This window comes from Homo sapiens, chromosome 11 (assembly GCF_000001405.40).
Source record: "Homo sapiens chromosome 11, GRCh38.p14 Primary Assembly".
NCBI lineage: Eukaryota > Metazoa > Chordata > Mammalia > Primates > Hominidae > Homo > Homo sapiens.
The window spans coordinates 65,064,827-65,089,446 of NC_000011.10; the positions used below are offsets into that span (position 1 = coordinate 65,064,827).

General features: G+C 53.3%; 3 protein-coding genes across 13 annotated transcripts in view, besides 5 other annotated features; 1 reads left to right on the forward strand and 2 right to left on the reverse strand.

Moving 5' to 3' along the window:
• The window catches only part of CDCA5 (cell division cycle associated 5), a 22,948-nt gene extending 3,734 nt beyond the window's left edge, over positions 1-19,214 (reverse strand). For 2 of the 10 annotated variants that reach the window (XR_001747757.3, XM_011544743.4), the window contains exons 1-11: positions 19,107-19,214; positions 18,803-18,897; positions 18,659-18,724; positions 18,538-18,573; positions 14,527-14,961; positions 3,662-3,775; positions 3,201-3,292; positions 2,829-2,927; positions 1,987-2,053; positions 1,726-1,853; positions 209-239 (exon numbers count right to left, since the gene is read on the reverse strand). Coding sequence is in view for 8 of the 10 variants with exons in the window: in XM_011544743.4 (XP_011543045.1) it covers positions 209-239; positions 1,726-1,853; positions 1,987-2,053; positions 2,829-2,927; positions 3,201-3,292; positions 3,662-3,775; positions 14,527-14,961; positions 18,538-18,573; positions 18,659-18,724; positions 18,803-18,897; positions 19,107-19,152 (1,209 nt within the window). In the remaining 2 variants the exon portion in view is untranslated. Of the gene's footprint in view, positions 1-208; positions 350-1,473; positions 1,854-1,986; positions 2,054-2,828; positions 2,928-3,200; positions 3,318-3,661; positions 3,776-12,626; positions 14,362-14,526; positions 14,962-18,537; positions 18,574-18,658; positions 18,725-18,802; positions 18,898-19,106 lie in introns of those variants that run through there. The other 8 variants (XM_017017158.3, XM_005273734.5, XR_001747758.3 and 5 more) reach the window with 8 other exon arrangements.
• Positions 1,931-2,225: a silencer, noted in NCBI's record as "tiled region #288; HepG2 Repressive non-DNase unmatched - State 1:Tss, and K562 Repressive non-DNase unmatched - State 7:EnhWF". NCBI's record gives its function as "represses a minimal TATA promoter and a strong SV40 promoter by Sharpr-MPRA in HepG2 and K562 cells {active_cell/tissue: HepG2 | K562}" and the evidence as "EXISTENCE:reporter gene assay evidence [ECO:0000049][PMID:27701403]".
• Positions 13,805-14,306: an enhancer, noted in NCBI's record as "H3K4me1 hESC enhancer chr11:64846103-64846604 (GRCh37/hg19 assembly coordinates)". NCBI's record gives its function as "activates a minimal SCP1, AML or CMV promoter by ChIP-STARR-seq in naive H9 embryonic stem cells {active_cell/tissue: H9 hESC(naive)}" and the evidence as "EXISTENCE:reporter gene assay evidence [ECO:0000049][PMID:30033119]".
• Positions 18,946-19,175: an enhancer, noted in NCBI's record as "active region_4939". NCBI's record gives its function as "activates an Ori minimal core promoter by ATAC-STARR-seq in GM12878 lymphoblastoid cells {active_cell/tissue: GM12878}" and the evidence as "EXISTENCE:reporter gene assay evidence [ECO:0000049][PMID:35858748]".
• Positions 19,256-19,525: an enhancer, noted in NCBI's record as "active region_4940". NCBI's record gives its function as "activates an Ori minimal core promoter by ATAC-STARR-seq in GM12878 lymphoblastoid cells {active_cell/tissue: GM12878}" and the evidence as "EXISTENCE:reporter gene assay evidence [ECO:0000049][PMID:35858748]".
• On the forward strand, positions 19,396-23,572 carry ZFPL1 (zinc finger protein like 1). Its single transcript, NM_006782.4, has 8 exons — positions 19,396-19,552; positions 19,865-19,974; positions 20,289-20,400; positions 21,589-21,782; positions 21,894-21,966; positions 22,102-22,248; positions 22,490-22,607; positions 23,102-23,572. Exons 2-8 carry the CDS (start codon positions 19,873-19,875, stop codon positions 23,286-23,288), a joined length of 933 nt encoding a protein of 310 aa, NP_006773.2. The 5' UTR covers positions 19,396-19,552; positions 19,865-19,872; the 3' UTR covers positions 23,289-23,572.
• Positions 20,115-20,699: an enhancer, noted in NCBI's record as "H3K27ac-H3K4me1 hESC enhancer chr11:64852413-64852997 (GRCh37/hg19 assembly coordinates)". NCBI's record gives its function as "activates a minimal SCP1, AML or CMV promoter by ChIP-STARR-seq in primed H9 embryonic stem cells {active_cell/tissue: H9 hESC(primed)}" and the evidence as "EXISTENCE:reporter gene assay evidence [ECO:0000049][PMID:30033119]".
• Positions 23,550-24,284, reverse strand: CATSPERH (catsper channel auxiliary subunit eta). 2 transcript variants are annotated; one of them, NM_001242631.3, is made up of 3 exons: positions 24,032-24,284; positions 23,857-23,924; positions 23,550-23,705 (listed from the first exon to the last, which is right to left on the reverse strand). In NM_001242631.3, exons 1-3 carry the CDS (start codon positions 24,203-24,205, stop codon positions 23,603-23,605), a joined length of 345 nt encoding a protein of 114 aa, NP_001229560.1. In that variant the 5' UTR covers positions 24,206-24,284; the 3' UTR covers positions 23,550-23,602. The 2 variants fall into 2 exon arrangements, with proteins under 2 accessions (NP_001229560.1, NP_001269377.1); NM_001282448.2 differs by having other exon boundaries at positions 23,825-23,924.
• Between the last annotated feature and the right edge of the window lie 336 nt (positions 24,285-24,620).

A 24,620-nucleotide genomic window follows, 5' to 3' on the forward strand; every position in this document is an offset into this window, starting at 1 on the left:
CCTGAGTAATATAGCAAGACCCTGTCTCTATTTATAAAAATAAAATGTAAAAATATGAAGAAAAGAGATGTTAGCTCAGCTCAATTCAGCCTGAAGCTGGGGCAGAATCAAATAGTCACTAATCAAGCACTTCATCAGTTACTTTGCCCAGGCCTGATCCCTAGGAGTCTGGTGTAAGTCAAACCAGGCCTGGGGAGAAGCCACAAACCTGAATTTCCATCCTCTTGGCTGTTGTCTCCCTACAGTGAACATAAGGCAAAATGATCATCCCCAGCCCGTTCCGTGTCACACGAGGATTAACGAAGGAATTCTGCATGGTGGATCTTTTACCATCCATTAGACCTAGATGCTGTAAAGTTAGAGGTTACTTTACAGAAAACTGATTAAGATGCAAAATGATTTCTGCCCAGTGAATAATACAAGCCTTAGAGTTATGGGACTTTTTATTTTATTTTAAATTAAAAAAAAAATTTTTTTTTGAGATAGTGTCTTGCTCTGTCGTCCAGGCTGGAGTACAGTGGTGCCACCTTGGTGCGCTGAAACCTCAGCCTCCCAGATTCAAGTGATTCTCGTGCCTCAGCCTCCCAAGTAGCTGGGATTACAGGCACGTGCCACCACACCTGGCTACTTTTTGTATTTTTAGTAGAGACCAGGTTTTCCCATGTTGGCCACACTGGTCTCAAACTCCTGACCTCAGGTGATCTGCCCACCTCGGGCTCCCAAAGTGCTGGGATTACAGGTGTGAGCCACTGTGACCAGCCCGGGTTATGGGATTTTAAAAATAAATGCCCTTTAGAATATTAACCAATTTTGTATGTAATTTAGCAATCTTCTATCAGGATTCCTTGCTTTCTCCCCCTTGACTATATACGTGTCAGTTTTTTGTATTCTTTTTTGCAACCCCATTGGTGGAGGGGGGTTGGGGGCTCCCAGGAGGCCCTGGGCCAGAGGGCTCCTGGGTTGGAGGTGAAACTCAAAATCGATATGTATCTCCAGGCCTGAGGGGTATAGGATGCGGGCCCTTGGGGAGTTGCCACCACCTCTCTCTGCCCCCCAACCCCATGACTTACAAAGGGGAAGGGACTTTTCCAAGGTCACCAGATGGTTAGTGGCTCTTCCCCTATCCCTCCCCCGCCTACACCCCAGTATCCTTCTGCACTTTGGAGTTAGAGCAGGTACCCAGATCCTCCGGGGAGGGACTGCGGCCCCTTTCTGGCCTCACCCCAGTGCTTATCTTGGGAACATCGCCCTTGAGCTCTCATCTCCAGGCTGACAACAACCAGGCCTGGAACCTTCTGTGAGGGGTCGGGGGAGGGCAGGGCCATGTCGGGGAGGGGTAGATGCAGAATGGGTGAGCTGAGGGAGTGGGGGTGATGTCAGAGGGTGGCTGAGGGGCTGAGCTCAGTGTGGACGTGGTGACCTCCTGCTCCCCACCTGAGCCCAGGGCCCACAGACACTTGGTGAAGCTGAAGCTTAGCTTCCAAGTTTATTTCTGGGATCTAGGGAGGAGCTGGCTGAAGGAGCGGCCTCCCGAGGAGGTGTCCGACCTCTGGCCTGGGGCCTGGCCAGGCCTGACCCTGGTCTCTGTGGTCGTGGGGCAGGTCAGGCAGCTTGAAGAGGAGACCTGCCTTCCGGGGGTTTGGGTCACTGCAGGCAGAGACAGCTCGAGTGAGCAGCATGGGGCAGCCGCCTCTTCCCTCCCCGCTGCCATGGCTGCCCGCACACCTGAGCAGAGCCACCTCCGGCAGGGCCTGGCTTTCCTCCTGCAGGGCCTTCACTTCATCCTGGATGGCCTGGGCCTCCTCCTGGATGGCCTGGGCTCCCTCCTTCAGGCTCTTATACAATAAGGTGGGCTGGACAAAGGGTTGCAGGGCTCGAGGTGGGTAGCCAGCCATGCAGGACAACCCGAAGCCCCTCTAGGAGAGCTGGGCTGGGAGGCAGGGAGGAGGCAAGACAAAGAAATGGGGTCCTGGCTCAGGGTCTTACCAGGTTCTGCAGCTTCTCCCCCAGGGCCAGGTTGTGCACTTGGGTGGTGTTCAGTGACTCCCGAAGCCTAGGGTTGAAAAACAGACCCCTCCCACCTCAGCCAGGCTTTTGTTCCAGGCAGCACTCCCCACCCCTCCCACCTCCTGCTTCAGCCACCTGGTCCTATAGCCACCTGGGACCAGTGTTTCAGTAAGAGCCCAGTCTTCCTGTCCCGGCAAAACCACAGGTGGGATGGGAATTGTTCTCCCTGAGTGATTGGTAGCAGGGGACCGAGAGAGAGACTAATTATGCTTTTTGTCTTCCTTTGCAAGAGCAGGGCAGGCTGCTTCTGTGGGTGGGCTAGAAACCCTCTGAGGCTCCCCTTGGAAGGGGTGGGTGGTATAGGGCTAGCCGCTCCTTTGGGCTGTAGGCAGGGTTGCAACAGGATTCTCTGTGGCTCCAGGCCAGTGACAGGGCCAATGCTGGAACCAGCCCTGCCTAGGCGCTCCAGGTCAGCTGTGTATGAATGGGAGAGCTGATCACTCAGGTCTATGGCCTGGAAGCCTCCGTCATGCCCTGCCCCCACCTCAGGACCTTTGCTGACAGATGGGGCTCTGACCCCAGCATTACCTGAGAGGGGCGAGCGGCCATGGGATTGTGTGGACCCCAGCTCCAGAGCCCGACATCCAGAGAACAAGCCCCTCCCCCAGACTGAACGCTCCTCAAGTTCTTGGACAATTAAAGGTGGGGGTTCCTGAATGCCCGTTCACCAGCCACGTGGGCCCTGACCTGAAAGCCAGGCCTGGCCTTGGTCGGGGGAAGCCCTGTCACCCTACCCGCTCCCATCTGCCCGCCCAGATCACCTCATGCAGTCATTCTGCAACTGCCTGATCTCCTTTGAGGTCCGCTGGGGGCCCCAGTCCTCCTGATCTAAGAACTGGTACTCCTGGATCTCCGAGTCCCTGGAGCAAGTGGGTAGTGAAGGTCAGGCCAGAGGGTCTAGGGGATGAGGGAAGTGGGTGGGTGGTGTGGGGGTGCCCAGCCAAAGGCCCCGGCTTCAGCAGGCCTCTCTGGGCCTCCTCTCTGCACGGGCCAGGACTGAGTCCTAGCCCAGGTTTGAATGTTTCTGGGTGTGGGGTGGGGAGAAACACCATCCACCTCCCCCAGTTTTGTGCGTGCCTGCATGTGCCTGCATGGGCACTCTCTCTCTCTCTCTCTCTCTCATGCAGCCTTACGATTCAGGGTCTTTTGGCTCAGTGGGCTCAGAGGTGTTCAGGAGTGTAAACAGGAACGTGACGGTGGGTTCCAGTTGTTCTGAGGAAGGTGGCTTTGCAGAGAAAGCGCCAAGGTGACTGGAGAGGGTCACGGCTGCTCACCCAAGAGCCTGGGTCCTCCCACACCCCCCATCCTTGCCATCTCCCTGTCTTTCAGGGGCCCCATCGTCTGTATCCCCCACCCTGTAGGGAAAGCCTGGTAGGAGGTATGAATGGGACCTGTCCAGGAGGCCCTCCAGCGCTGAACTCCCCTGCACCCATTCCTCAGCCCTGAACCCAGGAGCTGGGCCTGGACGCCCTGACAGCTGGAAGCTGGGTGTGACGACGGGGGTTCAGGCCTCCATTCAGATACAGGAAGAATTTCTCCAGCTCTCCTGCCTCCCCTGCCCACTGCCTTAGGAGGCCCTGGGGTTTCCCATCACCTCCAAGTTCCGCTCCTCGGAAGCCTGAGGGCCCTTGGGTTCTTGCTCCTCAACAGGCTGCACCACTGGCTTGTTGGCCAGCTTGGAGTGGGCTCTTTGTCTGCCCCTAAGAGACTGAGAGAGACAGAAGCCTGCTAGTCACTCACATCTACCATCCCCGCTATGCCATTTCTAGCCTGGTCTGGTTTTTAGGGGGCGGCTTCCAGCCTGGCGAGCGTCTATCACCAGCTCTGTCCAGCAAGCCAGACCCCCTCAAAGTGAAAGTTGCCAGATTTAGTAAATACAATATAGGCCCAGTGAAATCTGAATTTCAGCTGAAAATGGATACTTTTTCAGTATCTGTCTCACACAATGTTTGGGATATACTTACACTAAAAAACAATTCACTGTTCATTTGAAATTCAAATTTAACTAGGTGTCCTGTATTTTATCTGGCAGTCCTGCCAAACTACATGCTAAAAATATTTTGAGGCTGAGTGCAGTGGCTCACGCCTGTAATCCCAGCACTTTTGGAGGCCAAGGCGGGAGGATCGCTTGAGCCCAGGAGTTAGAGACCAACCTGGGCAACACACCAAGACCCCATCTCTGCAAAAAATTAAAAAATTGGCTGGGCATCGTGGCGTGTGCCTGTAGTCTCAGCCACTTGGGAGGCCGAGGTGGGAGAATCACTTGAGCCTGGAAGGTTGAGGCTACACTCAGGTGTGTTTGCATCACTGCACTCCAGCCTGGGCTTCAGAGCGAGACTCTCAAAAAAAAAAAAAAAAAAAAAGCTGAAGTTAATAGAATTGTGGCTATTTTTCACCCCGGTATTTTTCAGAATCTTGTGCATCTACTGGCCAAGTAACCACAGACATGGTCCTTCTTCACACTGAGTCCACCTGCGCCTCTAGATCCCCATGGACTTGTGGCAGGGGGCTTGTGGCCTGGGCTTGTGGCTGTGTTATATTGTACCTTTCTAGGCAGCCTAAAATTACACAATTCCTGACCACGTGACATAAACCGACAGCTCTGCAGAGGGCCCCGTAACCCTGGAAAGTCCCAGAGCTCCAGCGTGGTATGGCTGCTGGAGAATAGGTAGCTCTGTCACCAGGAGAACCTGGCTGCGTATAACAAGATCCACAGAACGATGGAGAGTCATGCCTCTGAGAACCTCACTTTGGAAACGGCTTAAAGAAACAACTCCAAATAAAAGTAATTCACATGGACGACCACAGTAGCTGATTTACACCATGAAGAAAAACTGGAAGGGGCCTAAAAGGCCCAAATATAAGAAGTGGTAAGGAAACAAAGACTTCTTCACATGGTAGGATACAATTCACTCATGCGCTTACTGGTCCCTGTAAACATTGCCTGTGGCGTAGGCCTTGGGAACATATAGATGGACACAACCTGGTTCTGCGCAGAAGTTTCCGGAAGATGAGGGAGGCCTCAGGTTTGCAGCTGACCACAGTGCGGGGGGATGAGCCACACAGAGGTTTGTACAGCGAGCCCTGGCTGCAAGAGGAGGGAGCCATGCATTCTGCTTCGGAGCTCCAGAGAGACTGCACACAGGATGTGCCGCCGGGTCTCAAACAAGGACGCAGGGGAGACCAGAAGAGGGAATGGTGTAAGCAAGAGCCGTGGGGTCCTGCGAAGGGCCCAAGACAGGGCCTGGGCTGTAGCCCACAGGGGACGAGGAGGCATAGGGATCTTTGTGTGTCTGTTATGTGGGCTGTTTGGCCATAGTTCAGAGGGTGAGTGGAAGGCGTAGACACTGGGGCCAGGATGCCAAGGGCCCTGGAAGTGAGGAAGAGAGGCAAGCCACCAACTGCTGCATGTGACAAGTGTCTAAACTCTGTTAATCCTGGAGAAGGTGTGCATGAGACCCTGTCACACCACAAAAGTGGGTCTTAACGGTGGTATGGGCTGGGTACCAGTGTACCCACGTAGGGTTGCCAAATAAAACACAGAATGCCAGGTTAAATTGGGATCTCAGATAAACGATGAATTTTTTTTTGAGACTTTATTTACTTTTGAGACAGGGTCTCACTTTGTCGCCCAGGCTGGAGTGCAGTGGCACCCTCATGGCTCACTGCAGCCTCGACTTCCCAGGCTCAGATGATTCTTCCACTTCAGCCTCCTGAGTAGCTACAACTGCAGGCCTGGCACCACACCCAGCTAATTTGTGTATTTTTTGTAGAGACAGGGTTTCACCATGTTGCCCAGACTGGTCTCGAACTCCTGGGCTCAAGTGATTCTCCTGCCTCCTCCTCTCCCAAAGTGCTGGGATTTCAGGCATAAGCCACTGAACCCAGGCAGGTTGAGAATTTCTTCTCCAAAATGCCTATCTAGAAGTGTTTTGGATTTCAGATTTCTTAGGATTTTGGAATATTAGCATTATCTGAAAATCCAGAATCCAAAATGCTACAGTGAATGTCAGGGCAGTGCTCACAGTTTGGGATTTTGGATTTTCTTTTCTTTTTTTTTTTTTTTGAGACAGAGTCTCGCTCTGTTGCCCAGGCTGGAGTGCAGTGGTGCAATCTTGGCTCACTGCAAGCTCTGCCTCCCAGGTTCACGCCATTCTCCTGCCTCAGCCTCCCGAGTAGCTGGGACTACAGGTGCCCGCCACCACACCCGGCTAATTTTTTGTATTTTTTAGTAGAGACGGGGTTTCACCGTGTTAGCCAGGATGGTCTCGATCTCCTGACCTCATGATCTGCCCGCCTTGGCCTCCCAAAGTGCTGAGATTATAGGTGTGAGCCACCGTGCTCGGCCGGGATTTTGGATTTTCAACCCACATATGCATACCCCATATGTGGCATGGAACATACTTGTACTAGAAAACTATCTATTATTTCTCTGATTTGGGAAACAGTTATTCCTTTTTTTTTTTTTTCCTGGGGACAGTCTCGCTTTGTTGCCCAGGCTGGAGTGTAGTGGTGCGATCTCGGATCACTGCAACCTCTGCCTTCCATGTTCAGGCAATTCTCCTGCCTCAGCCTCCTGAGTAGCTAATTTTTGTATTTTTAGTAGAGACGGGGTTTCACCATGTTGGTCAGGCTGGTCTCGAACCCCTAACCTGGTGATCCGCCTGCCTCGGCCTCCCAAAGTGCTGGGATTGCAGGCAAGGGCACTCTTACTCTTTAAAAATTGTGTTGTTTATCTAAGATTCAGGCTTAAGTGGGCATCTTGTATTTTTTGCTAAATCTAGCAACTCTAACACTATGGCCACATGTTGGTGCCCATCAGAGGACACTGGGAGGCATGAAAAGCTCCACGGTTACCAGTTGGTACGTGAGGAGGATGAGCAGATAGACAGACAGACAGGACTGGGGTCCTCTCAGGGTCCCACCAGCCAAGCACAGACAGATGCTTAATTCAGACTTGGACAGAAGATAGCTCAGGACCTGGATTTCAGTCCTGCTCTGCTGCTCATAGGTGGGGCAGCTGCAGGAAATCGGGCTCAGCCTCCTAGCCTGTGAAATGGGTATTCAACTCCACAAATATTGACTGAGCCCTAACTTTGTTGAAGGCCCTTCCCTGAATGTTGAGAAGGTACAAAAATGAATCTCCTCCTTTGAGGGGTTAATCACAGGCTGGGTAAAATGCTACTAGCCATCAGTGATGAGGAACTCTGCTGGCTGCTTTGCATATGACATCAACCTCCTGACCAACTCCGTTAGAGAGATGGAATTGGCCTCACTTTTCAGAAGAGAAAACCATGGCTCAAGAAGAGTCTCAGATGTGGGTGGACTGATACCCAAGCAGGTGGCTGTCAGGGAGCCTGCCAACCTGTCAGCCACACTGTGGAGAGGGGAAGGCAGCCTGGTCTAGGCCCATGTGTTGGGAGAACCACCAGGCCTGAGCCAAAGCCTCATCTGAAAGGGTGGTGAGCTACCGGGCTGAGGACCCAGGCGAGGAGGGAGGGGTCCATAGGCTGTGTGGGGAACTGCCCTGTGGAGAGGGAGGGTGAAGTCCACTCTCCAAGAAATGGGGACAGGTGTGAGCCATGGGGCTGGCTTCAGACCTCACATGCACACTGGTGGGACTAGAATTTGTGCTGTGGGAGGCTCATGACTGAGGCAGGGTGCCAGGTGCCATCACTCCTGACTCCACCTGTGCCCCTCCTACCAGGCACTCAGAGGCTCTCTGAAGCCCCTGTCCCCAGCTCCCACTGGAGGGGCACACCTGCCCAGGCTGGTGGGAAACCACCACATCCACTTACTCCATGATGTGCCTGGACACTGGGGGGACAGAGACAAATACAACCTTGCCTCCAGCCTGAGCTGGAGTTTACACAGCTACTGTGTAAACGTGTGTGCAGAGCAGACAGAATGGAGCTTGAAGGTGCTATGATGGAGGTCTGTGTGGACTTCTGAGACTTAAAAAGGGAGGGAATGGTCAGTTCTACTTGAAAATTGTTCATTGAGCACTTACCATGCACCAAGTGCTTTACTTGTATTATTTCATTCTTTTTTTTTTTTTTTTTTTTTTTGAGATGGAGTTTCTCTCTTTCACCCAGGCTGGAGTGAAGTGGCATGATCTTGGCTCACTGCAACCTCCACCCGCCAGGGTTCAAGTGATTCTCCTGCCTCAGCCTCCCGAGTAGCTGGGATTACAGGTGCCCGCCACCATGCCCGGCTAATTTTTGTATTTTTAGTAGAGACGAGGTTTCACCATCTTGGCCAGGCTGGTCTTGAACTCCTGACCTCAAGTAATCCAACCACCTCAGCCTCCCAAAGTGCTGGGATTACAGGTGTGAGCCACCGCGCCCGGCCGACTATCTCATTTTTAAACACTGTGGCATAGGTATTATTATTGTCCTCATTTTACTGTTAAGGAAACTGAGGCACATCAGAGTCTAATTATTATCATTTGCCTGGGATCACACAGCTAGAAGCTGGCAGAGCCAGGATTCAAACCCAGTTGGATTGCAGAACCTGTGCTCTTTGCTTTCACCAGGGTGGGGCAGGTGGGGAGGAAAGGCTGAGCAGGGGTGACGCGTGAGCCAGACTTAATGACGCGGGGCTCCCCAGGTGACGCAGGAGTGGGGAAAGACACGAGAGGCAGAGAGCAAAGGTTCAGAGGCAGGGACCTCCAAGCAGCTCGCAGCCTGCGGTGGGTCTGTGGGCTGAAGCCTGGACACCAGCCTCGGCCTGGAGTCCTCATGAGCCCCACTAAGGTGTCAGGAGCCCCCTAGACCAGCCAGGGTTCTGGGGTGCAAACAGGAAACAATGTTGGCTGATTTGAGCAAAAAGGAGTTTATTGGGAGGATGCTGGGGAGTCACAGAACTCACGGGAAGAAGAGACTTCAAAGGGCAGGCACTGTAGGGCGCCGACTGCCAGAACTAGGACAGGGGAGGGCCTGCAGATGGACAAACACGCATTCCCCACACCAGACACTGCTGGACAGGCGGTGCCTTCATCCCTCCTCACACCCATCACTCAAGGTGGAGAATCTGATCAGTTTAGGTCCTGGTTGCCGGGATCAGGGAGAGCAAGCATCTGGGATATTCACTCCCACTGAGTGGCTGGGGTCCTGCAGACAGCACATGCCTGGAGGCTGAGACGCTACTGGGCAGCCAGGCACCAGCGACCATTCATTCCACTGCTGCACGGAGCATGGGAAGTCAGCAGAGGTTTCTGTTTCGGCTGGAGTGCAGTGGCACAATATCGGCTCACTGCAACTTCCACCTCCTGGGTTCAAGCCATTCTCCTGCCTCAGCCACCCAAGTAGCTGGGATTACAGGCACCCGCCACCACGCCCACCTAATTTTTCTATTGTTAGTAGAGATGGGGTTTCACCATGTTGGCCAGGCTGGTCTTGAACTCCTGACCTCAAGTGACCCACCAACCTTGGCCTCCCAAAATGCTGGGATTACAAGTGTGAGCCACCGCGCCTGGCCCAATTTCCTCCTTTTTAAGGCTGAATAATATTCCACTGTATTGATAGGTCACACTTTATCCATTCAGCTGCTGGTAGACATTTGTGTTGTTTCCAGCTTTTTGGTTATTGTTGAATAATGCTGCTAGGAACTTGGTGTACAAATCTATTCCAATGCCTGCTTTCAACTTTCTCTGGTCTTATTACACTCAGGTGTGAAATTGTATTAAAAGGTTTTAAAGGCCAGGCATGGTGACACGTGCCTGTAGTCTCAGCTACTTGGGCAGCTGAGGTGGAAGGATGGCTTGAGTCTGGGAAGTGGAGGTTGCAGTGAGCCCAGATCACAATACTGCAGTCCAGCCTGGGCGACGGAGCCAGACCTTGTCTCAAAAAAAAAAAAAAAAAAAAAAAAAAATTGGCAGGGGTTTTGGCTGGGCATGGTGGCTCACACCTCTAATCCCAGCACTTTAGGAGGCCAAGGAGGGTGGATCACCTGAGGTCGGGAGTTCAAGACCAGTCTGACCAACATGGAGAAACCCCGTCTCTTACTAAAAATACAAAATTAGCTGGGCGTGGTGGCACATGCCTGTAATTCCAGCTACTCAGGAGGCTGAGGCAGGAGAATCGCTTGAACTCGGGAGGTGGAGGTTGTGGTGAGCCGAGATCGTGCCATTGCACTCCAGCCTGGGTGACAAGAGTGAAACTCCGTCTCAAAAAAAAAAAAAAAAAAAAGGGTTTTAAGGAGGGGAGAAATAGGCCCGGCGTGCCAGCCACGGTGATTCACGCCTATAACCCCAGCACTTTGGGAGGCTGAGTTGGGCGGACCACCTGAGGTCAGAAATTAGAGACCAGCTTGGCCAACATAACGAAACCCCGTCTCTACTAAAAATAGAAAAATTAGCCGGGTGTGGCAGTGGGCACCTGTAATCCTAGCTACTTGGGAGGCTGAGGCAGGAGAATCACTTGAACCCAGGAGGTGGAGGTTGCAGTCAGCCGAGATTGCACCACTGCACTCTAGCCTGGGCAACAAAAGTGAAACTCCATCTCAAAAATAAAAATAAAAAATTAAGGAGGGGAGAAACAGGATCATATTGTGTGTTTTAGGAAATGTGTTCTAGCTGCAGTGCAGACAGTGTGGAGATACAGCAGCCCAAGGGAATGACCCACAGGAGGCTAGTGCAATTGTCTAGTGGCTGTGGGGTGGGGGGGATGTTGAGGGGGATGGGGCTGGCCACATGGGGTGAAGGAAGAAGGAGCTGGTCCTGGGTTCCTGGCCCGTGTGACTGTGTCAGCTGGTGGCTCTGCTAATGGCACAGAGAACACAGGAGTAGGCAAGCTGCTGGATGAGCAGAGCTTCAGATGACTTCCTGAAAGGCAGTTCTAGATTCTGATTTGTAGCTCAGGACAGTTTTAGGTTGGAGATAAAGATGGACAAGTCTTGAGCAAGGAGGCAGTCCAGAGAGCGAGGCTACCCGGCAAGAGCAGGCAGGTGGGAAAGAGGGTCCAGGACTGAGGCCTGGTATCCAGACATTTCAGGAAAAGCCAAGAAAAAGGAGCTGGCAGTGCCACAGCCCCAAAGAGGGTGTCCTGGCAGAGGCCCGAGCTTAGTATGTTGGATATTAGGACATCACTGGTTACCTTTGTCTGAGCTGTTAAAGAGAGTGACGAGGGCATTGGGAATAAATTCAAAGTAAAGAGCAACTTGGAACGTTCCTTCAAGCTTAAAATGGTGGTAGCTAACGACAGATGCTGGTCGACTTTTGGTTGTCTTTTTTGTCTTTTGAAACAGGGTCTTTACTCTGTTGCCCAGACTGGAGTGCAATGGCGTCACCATGGCTCACTGTAGCCCCGACCTCCCAGGCTCAGGTGATCCTCCCACCTCAGCCTCCTGAGTAGCTGGACTGCAGATATGTGCCACCACGCCCATTTATTTTTTTTACATTTTTTGTAGTCAGGATCTCCCTATGTTGCCCAGGCTGGTCTTGAACTCCTGAGCTCAAGTGATCCTCCTGCCTCAGCTTCCCAAAGTGCTGGGATTACAGGTGTCAGCCACTGTGCCCAGCCTGGTTGTCATTTTTTAACAACAAAGCAAATAAAAGCCATTTAGGACTTGGAAGAAAAAGAAGAGGAAGGTTTCAGAGACAAGATAATTGGATCAAAAACCAAAGTGGAAAGGCTAGCCTTGAAGAGGGGACCCATCTCCTCTGGGTGGGGGAAGGAGGTCAAAGCGGATTAAGTCTGTGGAGAACTTAATGGCTTTGATTTGTTTGGATGACTAGGAGGCAAGTACAAGTGTGGAGGATGGGATGGGAGGCTGGTCTGTGCCACCTGCCTGTAGGGTCCTAGCCTTACCTAAGGCCAAGTGGGAGAATTTCCAGGCATCAGCATCTTTGATCAGCTCCCCAGGGTCCCACAGCACCTGCTGCTACACAGTGTCCAGTCTGGACCATGGAGTGAGCAACTCGGGCTCCTTCAAAGGAGCCTGAAAGGGAATGGGGAACGAGGGCTGGACTCGGGAGGGTGTTTGCTTCCCAGGCATCTCCCGTGGGCACTGGGGGAGCTCTTAGCACTCTCACCCCAGACCCGACTTTCTTCCTCCTAGAAGAGGAGCAGACTGGGGACTGGACAGAAATAAACAAGACACGGGGCAGGACAGGCCAGGCGCAGTGGCTCACGCCTGTAATCCCAACACTTTGGGAGGCCGAGGAGGGCAGATCACTTGAGGTCAGAGTTCAAGACCAGCCTGGCCAACATGGTGAAACCTCATCTCTAATAAAAATATAAAAATTAGCCAGGCGTGGTGGTGGGCACCTGTAACCCCAGCTACTTGGGAGGCTGAGGCAGGAGAATCGCTTGAACCTGGGAGGCAGAGGTTGCAGTCAACTGAGATCACGCCACTGGACTCCAGCCTGGGAGACAGAGCTAGACTCTGTCTCAAAGAAAAAAAAAAGTGTGTGGGGCACAGTGATCTACCATGGGGCGAATGCGGGGAAGCGGGGCTGGGAGCGCCTGGACAAAGGGACAACCCCAGTGATGCAGCCCACTGGAGGCCTGGCCTTACCTTCGGCTCTGCCTTTGACTCAATAAAAGAAACACAGTCCATGAACAGGCAGAAACTCTTTAATCAGGCTTTTTTTCCAACTCTAAAACAAAATCCCATTTTTTCCTTAAATTTAGTTCCTCAGGAACAGAGAACTTTGCAATGATGATCTCAACTCTGCATCATCTGGTGACTCCTGATTCTGCAGGACTAAGACATTTCCCAAGAGTTCTGCTGCATCAGCCAGTGAGGACAAGAGTTCTTCAGTGCGGTTCAGCTCAAGGACACCTAGGCTTCCCCAGCAGGGGGCTTGCTTGCAGGTCTGACAAACCACAGAGCGTTGAGCAGATGGCCTGGGACTCCCAGACCTGGCAGAGGGTTTTATTAGGGCCCGCCTGGCCTGCACCGTTTCATCCAAGTACCCTGACCCAGCACTCATCTTCCCTGGCATTCTCTGTTATCCACCAGCTCCTCTGCACACCTCAGCGTCTACTTCCACGAACTTCTAAACATCAAAAGGTACAATGGCCAGGGGTGCGGCAGGAGAGTCGGGGGCAGGGCAGCCTTCAAATCCACACTATTGAATCCACACGATGGAAAGAAGAGAAAGATGGGGAAATTCTCCAGAGATCATGAGATGCATCCAGGCAGTGTTCTCATGTGAGAGGATAGGGAGGCCAAAAACTAAAATTGCTATCAGCCCCCGCCGCTGTCTGGTACGCGAGGAAACTTTCCGAGGACTTTACAAGCATAGTTGCAAAATGCTAGTAGGTCTGGGACTCTTCAACTTTCTCTTCTAGGGCCAAGTAGACTCGGTGTAACTTATTTTGTAAGAAATGGGTATGGGTGACAAGAGGGGCCACCTTCCACCCCTGCAGCAGAGTGGTAAGACTCCAGCGTGGGCCCTGTGCAAGGGACCAGCCCAGAGGCCATGAGCCACAGAAACTCACAGCACCTGGTGGCCACACCCTGAAATGCACCCTTTGCTCCAAGCAGCCAGCGCCCTATCAACCTGGCATTTACCAAACATCTCAACAGCAGACCAGAACTAGAAAACACAGCTTCTGTGTAGTACACACTTATGGTCTGAGACCCAACTAAGGCTCCCTACATCCTTCAAAACTCAGACTCCACAGGCTGAATGTCCAGCTTCTTCCTCCAAGACAGAATTGCCCTCAGCCCACGAATTCTCTCTGGGACTATTTACAGAATCAAAGGGGAAACCCACGGAACTGAAAACCTCTTTACACAGGTGGGTTCAAGAAGAAAGCCACCAACAGAAGGCAACTCAGGAGGGAGAGGCCGAGGCTGGCAGAGCCCCTGGGCCTATTTCCAAGCAGCCACCCCTCCCAACAAGAGCAGAGGTGCCTCTCACCTCAACCCTCAGCCCTTTAACTTCTGGCTGGGCCACTGATTCTCCTCCCCAGTCTGTGGCCCATCTGGAAACTGGCTATGGTACTTTGGGGAGATAGGAAGGACAGGACGACAAGAGACAGGACACCAGTGAGTGGCTGGGCCAGGCGGCCCCATTTCCTAAAACCAAGATGGCTGCCGCTGCTGCCCAAGCCCTCAAAGGCAGACAGTCCTCATGCGCAGCACCAGCACACACACAGGTAACAAGACCAGGGGAGGGGACCCTAAGTGTCCTCTCCACAGGGAGGTGGCTATGTACAGGACAGGAGGGAGAGTCTGGCCAGGTGCACCCCCCACTGCATCTCATTCAACCAGGAGATCAAACTGCTCAGCAGCTTCAAACTCGGCATTCATGGCCGCAGCCCACTCATCCAGCTCCGTTTTCTGAGGGAAGAGAAATGAGGAGCAGGTGAGTGAGAAGGGAACATGGTGGCTGGAGCATCTCACCCACACCCTGCAGGTGCTGCCTATCCCCCAAAAGAGCCAGAGCCCCAGCCCTGCACGTCTCCCAGAGCACACGGCAGAGAAAAACCCCTGCCTCTCACTCACCAAGATCTCTGGCATTTTCTTCTTCTTACGTTTCTGTTTCTCGGGTGGTGGGGAGATTCCAGGGAGAGTCATGTCTGGGGCCCAGGGCTTTGCACAAACCCTGGGGACCTCGGTGAGTTTGGAGCACACCACTGGCGAGACTCCGGACAAGTCTTCTGCCCCCAGCAGCCCCTCGAAGCCAAAGCAGGACCGGCGGCCTGGGGTGGAGGTAGAGGCAGAGCCCAGGGTCTCCAGCCGGCTGTAGGAACGCCTGACTTTCTTAGACATTTCCAAGTCTCTGGCGTCCAGCTCTCCTTCCTTGGAGCTGGACTCGGCCTCAGGGTTCGGCACAGGAGTGCTGGTGGGGGTGGCAGGGACGCTGTGTGTCTTGAAAAGGTCCTCCTTAGTAAGCTCCCTGCCAGGGGGCTCGTTTTCTTTCTCCAAGAAAAAGGAAATCTGCACCAGGACAGAAGAGGGGATGCCCTCAATACTTAGCTGGACTGCTTACTTCCAGAAAAGCCCGAGAAGATTCAGGGTGGAAAGACCCACAGGACACACACTTTTTTTTTTTTTTTTTGAGACGGAGTCTTGCTCTCTCGCCCAGGCTGGAGTGCAGTGGCATGATCTCGGCTCACTGCAAGCTCCGCCTCCCGGGTTCACGCCATTCTCCTGCCTCAGCCTTCCGAGTAGCTGGGACTACAGGCGCCCGCCACCTCGCCCGGCTAATTTTTTGTATTTTTAGTAGAGACGGGGTTTCACCGTGTTAGCCAGGAGGGTCTCGATTTCCTGACCTCGTGATCCGCCCGCCTCGGCCTCCCAAAGTGCTGGGATTACAGGCGTGAGCCACCATGCCCGGCCAACACACACTTTTTTTAAGGAAGGGACAAATCAGACCCTGAAAGAGACATGGAGAGAAGAAAACAACCCACCATTGCTTCCAAGGAGTCTGCTTTTGTGACACAAATGGACTTGCCCCCATCTGCTGGTGCTGTCGCTTGTTTCCAAAATGTGCCCAGCATCCAGCCTCTCCTCTGACCAACTCAAGCCCTCATTAGGTGTCTTCTAGACCAGCTCAGCAACGTTTTTTGTTTTGTTTCCAGATAAACGGTCTCAACTCTGTTGCCCAGGCTGGAGTGCAGTGGCACGATCATGGCTCACTGAAGCCTCAGCCTCCAGGGCTCACGCAATCCTCCTACCTCAGCCTCTGAGTAGCCGGGACTACAGGCATGTGACACTCTGTCTGGCTGATTTTTTTTTAGTTTCTTTGTAGAGTAGGGGAGGTCTCCCTTTGTTGCCCAGGCTGGTCCCAGCGACCTTCTGATTTCTCTCCCTGTTTCCACCCTTGCCTGCTGTGGTCCATCTGCCACACAGCTGATGAGGATTGTCCTAAATGTCCACTCAGTCCATAAGTATTTATCAGTCACCTGTCCTGTGCCAGGCACTGGGAACACAGCAGGGAATAAAACAGAGAAAACCCCTGCCCCATTCTAAGAGAAAAACAGGTAAGAAAATTCAGTATTATGTTAGCAGTATCAAGCACTACAGGAAAACAGAACAGGAGAGAGTGCTTGGGGCAGGTTAGAATTGCAAAAAGATAAAGGTCAATACATCCCTCACTGAGGTGACATTCAAGCTACAACTTGAAGGAGGTGTGGGAGTGACTCATGGCCAAGTTCTAGGCAGTGGGAACAGAAGGTGCAACAACCCTGAGGCCACAGTGTACTAGTCAGGGTCAAACAACAAGGAGGCCAGTGTGGCTGAAGTGAAGGCAAGAGGAAGAAACTGAAGATGAAGTTCAAGAGATAATGGGTGGCCAGATATGGTGGTTCACACCTATAATCCCAGCACTTTGGGAGGCTGAGGTGGGTGGATCACCTGAGGTCAGGAGTTTGAGACCAGCCTGGCCAACATAGTGAAACCCCATCTCTACTGAAAATACAAAAAAAATTAGCCAGGTGTGGTAGCAGGTGCCTGTAAGCCCAGCTACTTGGGAGGCTGAGGCAGGAGAATCGGTTGAACCTGGGAGGCGGAGGTTGCAGTGAGCCGAGATTGCGCCACTGCACTCCAGCCTGGGTGACAGTGCGAGACTCCATCTCAAAAAAAAAAAACACAGGGAAGCTGAACAAATTGGTGGTCACTGCTGACTACGACTTCCTCATTCTCTATAGCCAAGCAGTCACCCAGGTCCTGGCAACTTTATCCTGCTCGATGTACCATGAATCTCAGTCAATCAACAAGAATGAGTGGCTACTAGGAAAGGCAGAAGTCCCTACCCTCAAGGTGCCTGTGTTCTTAGAGGGGGGAGAGAAAGACATCAAACATGCAAGAAAATACACTATAAGAACTGATAAGGACCAGGCACAGTGGCTCATGCCTGTAATCCCAACACTTTAGGAGGCCAAGGTGGGAGGATCACTTGAGCCCAGGAGTTCAAGACCGGCCTGGGCAACATAGTGAACCCTCATCTCTATAAAAAAAATTAGAGAAAACATCAAAAAATTAGCCAGGCATGGTGGCATGTGACTATAGTCCCAGCTACTTGAGAGGCTGAGGAGGGAAGATCTGCAGTGAGCCGAAATCTCGCCACTGCACTCCAGCCTGGGTGGCAGAACAAGACCCTATCTTTAGAACTGGTAAGGCCTAAGAGAATTACATAGAGAAATGTGACAGCAATAGGGTAAGGGTGGTCAGGGAAGGCCACTGGGGGGCAATTCCCTCTGAACCCAGTACTGTATATCATCCTGGCTTTAGCTCACGCCCTTGGCTTCATGCTTCAGAATTCCTGGACTTCACGTCATTCCACTGGTCTTGGAGCCCCAGGGTAGCCCTTCTCAAAACCATTCTCCCCACAGCCCCCAGAGGGGTCTTTCTTAAAACACTCAAACTTGACTCGGTCACTACCTTACCCAGAACTCTCCAAAGGCTGCCCACAGACCCAAGAATGATGCCCAAGCCATGAGTGTGGCTTTTGTGCCTCATCAGGATCTGCTCTGCCTTAGGGTGCTTCCTCCCCTGCTGAGGTCTGCTGCAGACACTAAACAAATTGCTATTCCCCGAACCTTGATTTTTCTTTAAATTCCCAATCTCTGCAAACATGGCTTCTTTGACCTGGAACAAACCTACTTGTCTTTTTTTTTTTTTTTTTTTTTGAGATGGAGTCTCGCTTTGTCACCCAGGCTGGAGTGCAGGGGCGTGATCTCGGCCCACTGCAACCTCCGCCTCCTGGGTTTAAGCGATTCTCCTGCCTCAGCCTCCTGAGTAGCTGGGACTATAGGCACGTGCCACCATGCCTGGCTAATTTTGTATTTTTAGTAGACACAGGGTTTCACCACGTTGGCCAGGCTGGTCTTAAACTCTTGACCACAAGTGATCTGCCCGCCTCAGCCTCCCAAAATGCTAGGATCACAAGCGTGAGCCACTGCACCCGGCCTCTACTTGTCTTTAAAGACTCAGTTCAAATGTTTCTTCTTCCACGAAACATTCCCTGAGCCACATGGTCTGGGTTAGCTACCATCATAGCATCTAGTATTCCTTATTGCAGTCCCAGTACACAACGTTGCTATCACTTGTCATTGGTCTTTCTCCCCAGTTGACTCTAAGCCCTATCAGCTCTTCAAAGGAGTTCACATTTCTCAGTCAGTATGTCTTCAGATTGTCTATTAATGAAACATCCTTTGATAATAACTTCTGCTAAAACTGTAAAAATGTCATACACATGACTTATCTCAGAACACCCATACATGAAAGCTGAAGGCATAATGGATTAGAAAGGCAGTACGTGGAGTTAAGACATAGCTCAGCTTTTAAAGGAAGTTCCAGGAAAATGGTAGAAATACACAAGGCATAAAAAGTTAAGTGTATTAAGTCTTCAGGGAGTAATCAAGACTGGCAATGCATGCAGGTGCCCACAGGCAAACTGTTTTTGCAGTACTGCAAAACAGCTCCCTGGGCAGATGTGAGGAGCCAATGTGTGCTGTCCAGCTCTAGAGTGACCCAGATTCTACTTAATTAAGTAGATGAAAGTGAACTCACCCTAGGGCTCCTGCGAGGTGATTGGACAGCTGGGACCTGCGGGGGACAATACCAATTGATCACATAGCTGGTCCCCAGTTTTGCCCGCCTAACCACCCACAACACTCTCCTTAGCCTTTACCTCTACAGCATGGGCCACGATCCTCTTTAAGACGATGGGCTTTCTGACTGCAGCCGCACTGGGTGTCTGGAGAAGAGGGATGAACGTGAGCTCAACATTAGGTGAGGGGCCACAAGGGGAGGAAGTGAGAAATCTGGGGCTCACCTTCGGCCAGATTTCAGGGAGGATGCTCGGGAGTTCAGAGCCTGATTTCCGCTGGGACCTCCGCAGAGGCTTAGTAGGAGATGGGGCCCTTGGCCCTGGAAAGAGAAAAAAGTTAAGTGGTAGAGGAGGACTCTAGACCTTAGAGTCCAGAGAACAGGTTCTAGAGACAGCGAGAAGATTCCCAAACAAGCCCTTTTAAGGGCGCCTCCTCCGGCGGCGGCAGCGGGAGGGAAGAGGCCATCTTTCACCGGACTGCGTCCCCCAAACGGCTCGACCTCACGTCTCCCGCGCGCCCTCCGCTCACCGGAGCGCTGAGCGGCTCCTCCGGACCGCGTTCGCCTCCCAGACATAACTTAGGCTCCGTCTCGAGCTCCTCCAGCGCCGCCGCCCCGGGCGCGCGCCAACCGGGAAGGCCACTCGCTGCAAAAAACGTTCGAATTACCCGCCCTGCGGGAAAGGAAGCGGAAGTGACGTAGGGCTAGCGGTCTGCGGCCCTCGGAACCCCGAGTCTTTTCCACCCGTCTTCACCTCTAGCGGCAGCGGAGGCGTGGCCCAGGGGCGCGATGGCGTCATCAGCGCGCGCCGCACCCGGAAGAGACGTGGCAGCGGAGGGATAATCGGGGCGGCCGGGGCTGAAGGGAGAGGCGCAGGAGCCCTGGGGAGAGTGGTCCCTGCCCTTCCGCGCCTCGAGCCATCGCTACCGCCCTTCGGAACCAGTGCAGCGGCCGATCAGTAAACACAGAGACTGGGGTCTGTAGAGAAGGGGCGGGACTTGGAGGGGGTGGGGCTCAGGAGAGGTCTTGGGGGCGGGGCCGGTAGTATCGGGGAGCCTCTGATGGAGGGGCCTGGCCGGGGGCGGGATCCAGAAGGATTGAGGGGTCGCCGGAGGCGGGATTTATGCAGGGGGTGTTTCTCCGCATAAGGAGGGACAGTGGGCAGGAATCTGAGATCGGGGCGAATATGAGAGGTGTCTGGGGGAGTTAAGAGTGGAAACTGGGCTGGTGAGAGCGTAGTGGTGGCCACCAGAACCTGACTTCCTACCAACTCATGCCCCTTTCCCAGGATCGATCATGGGGCTTTGTAAGTGCCCCAAGAGAAAGGTGACCAACCTGTTCTGCTTCGAACATCGGGTCAACGTCTGCGAGCACTGCCTGGTAGCCAATCACGCCAAGGTGGGGCCTTCAGGGGAGCGACTGAGCAGGGCACTGGGTGGGCAAGGCGGTATTGGCTTCCTCCAAATCCATGAGGGGCCCCGCGCTAGAATGTAAGCCCCACAAGGGCAAGGACTTGATTTATTTTGTTCACTGATATATCCCCCGTTCCCAAGAGAGAGTCTGGTGCACAGTATGTGCTCAATAAATATTTATTGATTAAACAAACGAAAGGATGAGTCTCCTCTGTGGCTAGAGAAAAAGAGACAGTCGGACCTTGGGGTGATAGGCCGAGCAGCCCCAGCACCAGTTGTGACATCTCTCTCCCACTCCAGTGCATCGTCCAGTCCTACCTGCAATGGCTCCAAGATAGCGACTACAACCCCAATTGCCGCCTGTGCAACATACCCCTGGCCAGCCGAGAGACGACCCGCCTTGTCTGCTATGGTGAGGCCTTGGCACCTCGGGGGGATCAGGCCAGCCTCAGGGGCCAGCTTGGTGACTGGTTTCCAGGCCCTCCTCAAGCAGCAGGACAGTGAGTCCCCCGAGTCTCAGAGCCCAGATTCTAGTCCTGTTAAAGTTCCTTACCTGCTGTGTAAGTTCAGGCAAGTTATTCTTCCTTTCTAGGCCTCACTGTCTTTCCTAAAAATTAAAGCTCCTAGTTCCTCTTTCCTAAAAATTAAGCCCTGCCAATCTGGAGGTTTCAGCGAGAACCAGTCAAGCTTACGGGTATGCTGGTGGCCGTGACTATTAGCTAGCCAGACCGGCATGTTGCTTTCAGATATTCAGGATCCACCACTGATTCCAAGGCTAAACAGAGAGGAAGTGAGTTTCCCACATTAAAGTTAGCTAAAAGAAGTCAGCAGACATATGTGTCATGACTTTGACCTGAATCTGGGGTAAGAGCCTTAGCTCCAGTTTTTGAAGGAGCTCATGCAAGAGTCAGCTCCATATGTGTTTCTCCTTGTGAGTGCATGTGTGTACTTGCAGGCACTTAATGTACATTGTGTGTTTAAATGAGTGTTAGTGTGTTGATCTGTACTTGGGGTGAATGAATGGGTAAATGTATGTATGTGAACATATGAACACAGGTGTGTTGTGGGAGTGCAAGAGAATGCATGGTTGAGGGTGCCTGTTAGCAAACCTGTGAGTGTATAGATGTGTATGTGTGAGGGCTCCTGTACCCATAGTGTAGATATAGGGAATGCCACTTGTGTTTGATTATGTGCTTATAAGGACATGTACATTTGTGCCCAGGGATGTGTACATGTATATGTGTGCCTGTGTGTGTATCGAGGAACCTTTTCTGAAACTGTTCATTATTAGCCATTAGCCCAAAGAATATGATGAGTGCAGGCCCAGAGAGGACTCATTGAAAGGACTGAAAGGGGAGGTGGCGTTTTCTTCCTACCCAAACTTACCCCTGTGAGCTGGACAGCTTGGTAGCACCTGCCTGGACTTAGATGGTGGTAGCCAAGAAGACTGACATTTTAGGGAACAGGACGGGGAGGAGAAGGCTCTGGCACACACACATGTGTCCATATGTCCTGCAATGGTCTGGGGACTATTGCTAGGCTAGGAGCCCTAAGTGTCTTCTTCCTCATGTCTCTTCTCCCCTGTCTCATGGGCCCTAAGATCTCTTTCACTGGGCCTGCCTCAATGAACGTGCTGCCCAGCTACCCCGAAACACGGCACCTGCCGGCTATCAGTGCCCCAGCTGCAATGGCCCCATCTTCCCCCCAACCAACCTGGCTGGCCCCGTGGCCTCCGCACTGAGAGAGAAGCTGGCCACAGTCAACTGGGCCCGGGCAGGACTGGGCCTCCCTCTGGTGAGAGTCCCTCGTCTGTCTGACCATCTATCTGCCCTGGGCCCCACCTGAGTCAGATGGGTGGGTGGGGACAATACTAGGCAGCCTGGTGACCCAGATTCCTTCCTCCAGATCGATGAGGTGGTGAGCCCAGAGCCCGAGCCCCTCAACACGTCTGACTTCTCTGACTGGTCTAGTTTTAATGGTAAGTGGTGGCTTCCACCGACTGTTTGGGCTTTAGCCTCCCTGCTCTGCTGACAGCTCCCTTGGTCTGCAGTCACATGCTCTACCCCTGAGCTCTATGCACTGCTTCTGCTGACGGCTCTCTTTCCACCCACAGCCAGCAGTACCCCTGGACCAGAGGAGGTAGACAGCGCCTCTGCTGCCCCAGCCTTCTACAGCCAGGCCCCCCGGCCCCCAGCTTCCCCAGGCCGGCCCGAGCAGCACACAGTGATCCACATGGGCAATCCTGAGCCCTTGACTCACGGTGAGCCTGGGAGTTATCCAGGCCGCAGAAGGATAGGAAGAGGGTGGAATGGTTTGTATAGGGGGAGCTTGAGGATCCAGAGACCCACCCGGAGGAACCTTTCCTTAATCCAGGCACAGCCATTACCTCCTCACAATTCTGAGATGTTCTGTCAGACTGAGGAGAGCAGGTGATCCCCCTAGCCCTCCCCAAAGCGGCCAGTTTTCCTGAGTCTATTGATGCTAGTGGCTCCACCCTGTAGCCCCTAGGAAGGTGTATGATACGCGGGATGATGACCGGACACCAGGCCTCCATGGAGACTGTGACGATGACAAGTACCGACGTCGGCCGGCCTTGGGTTGGCTGGCCCGGCTGCTAAGGTACACAGGGTCAGGCAGGGCGGAATGCCAGGAAGGGGTGGAGAGGGAATGGGAGCCAGAGGTCCTGGAAGGGATGGTTTCATGACAAAAGGGGCTTGTTCTGGGGAGTAACAGTACCTGGTGCTGGGGCTGTGCAGAGAGGCCTTGGCTGTGCAGCAGAAGCTGTGTTTTGCTTCTCTCTGGGACTGTCTCTATGCCTCCTACACAGGAGGTTTGAACTCAGGCTCTTTGAGGCCCCTTCCCGATCTGACACCCCCTAATCTTTGTAATTCTCCCCGACGTCTGACACACTGTGGTTTCCAGAATACAGTCGTGCGCCTCAGCTGGTTTGAGCTGCACAATAACGCCCTATGGTGGCAGGTGCAGGAGTGATCATCCCTGAGGCACAGACGAGGAGATGGAGGCTCAGGAATGGGTGGTGACCAGGGCTTCTCTCCAGCCGCGGGGGCCACCAGGGACTGGGGCCTGACCTGATTTTCCCCTCATCCCCCCAGGAGCCGGGCTGGGTCTCGGAAGCGGCCGCTGACCCTGCTCCAGCGGGCGGGGCTGCTGCTACTCTTGGGACTGCTGGGCTTCCTGGCCCTCCTTGCCCTCATGTCTCGCCTAGGCCGGGCCGCAGCTGACAGCGATCCCAACCTGGACCCACTCATGAACCCTCACATCCGCGTGGGCCCCTCCTGAGCCCCCTTGCTTGTGGCTAGGCCAGCCTAGGATGTGGGTTCTGTGGAGGAGAGGCGGGGTAATGGGGAGGCTGAGGGCACCTCTTCACTGCCCCTCTCCCTCAAGCCTAAGACACTAAGACCCCAGACCCAAAGCCAAGTCCACCAGAGTGGCTGCAGGCCAGGCCTGGAGTCCCCGTGGGTCAAGCATTTGTCTTGACTTGCTTTCCTCCCGGGTCTCCAGCCTCCGACCCCTCGCCCCATGAAGGAGCTGGCAGGTGGAAATAAACAACAACTTTATTAAAACACCCGAGGCAGCCTTTTGCTTCCCCCTCCTTAGCCCTGTTCCGACTCCCCAGGCCTCAGTGGTGCTCCTCCCGGTACTCGATGGCCAGAAACTCCAAGGACAGGCGGTTGAAGAACATGGCTCCGTTGAGCACTGGGCGGGGGACAGAGCCCCCCATGAGCCCCAGTACCCTTCCCTGGCTACTCCTTGCCACATCTCAGGGTTCCAAAGCTCCCCGCTCCCTCTTGCACCCTCCCACTCCTGCCACTCACTCAGGATGGTCAGGGCGGAGAAGCAGACGTACTTGTTTTCTGTCATCTCAGCATAGAGTGACCCCATGGCAGCCCAGCAGATGCTGATCACCTGGGAGAACTGTAGGCCCATCCAGTGGGAGAGTGGCCCCCTCGCACAACAGTGGGGTTTCCATCAGCCCCTCGGGTCTCCCACAGCCAGCCCTTGCGTCCCTGCCCTGAGCCTACCATCAGGACGACCGTGTAGTGAAAGCTCATGTGGTCATAGTGGTAGGTGATGCAGAAGTTGTGCACGTCTCTGATGAAGATGCCCAGGTGTAAGAAGAAGAGCATCAGCGCAGCCGTGGTGAGCATCATGCCTTTTGGGAAGAAGAACGTGGCGATGCGGTCTTGCAGCCACATCTTGCCCGCAGTGTAGATGCAAGTCAGACTTGAGAGCTGGAGCAAGCAGGCCCTGCCCAGGAAAAGCAGCAGAGTCTCTGGTTCTAAAGTGCCTGGTATGGAATAGCAGTGGGATTCTAGAACCAGGAGGACAGTGGAGGGGACAAGATTCTAGAACACAGGCTGATTCCAGCCAACACAGGAGTGCCTCACGGGTGGTAGGGGTGCTTTGAATTGTGAGATCAGTGGGGGCCCATGGCAATGGCGAAGGGGCAGCAGCCCTAGTTATCCCATACTCACTCTAGACGCTTTTATGCATGTCTCAAGTTTCCCAAAACGGAGGCAGTGTGAACACAGTCTACAGATGAAGAACTGGGGCTCAGAAAAGTTGAGGGGCGTGGTCTAGATTTACAGCAAGTCTTAGGCAGATGAGAGA

Bases quoted from the DNA above. Each gene is read 5' to 3' on its own strand.
- ZFPL1 (NM_006782.4), top strand. From the start codon at position 19,873: ATGGGGCTTTGTAAGTGCCCCAAGAGAAAGGTGACCAACCTGTTCTGC. The intron at 21,783-21,893 runs GTGAGAGTCCCT...TCCTTCCTCCAG, and splicing joins CAGGACTGGGCCTCCCTCTG to ATCGATGAGGTGGTGAGCCC. The intron at 22,608-23,101 runs GTACACAGGGTC...TCATCCCCCCAG, and splicing joins TGGCTGGCCCGGCTGCTAAG to GAGCCGGGCTGGGTCTCGGA.
- CATSPERH (NM_001282448.2), bottom strand. From the start codon at position 24,205: ATGTGGCTGCAAGACCGCATCGCCACGTTCTTCTTCCCAAAAGGCATG. The intron at 23,925-24,031 runs GTAGGCTCAGGG...ATGGGCCTACAG, and splicing joins ACTACACGGTCGTCCTGATG to TTCTCCCAGGTGATCAGCAT. The intron at 23,706-23,824 runs GTGAGTGGCAGG...TCCCCCGCCCAG, and splicing joins CTCCGCCCTGACCATCCTGA to TGCTCAACGGAGCCATGTTC.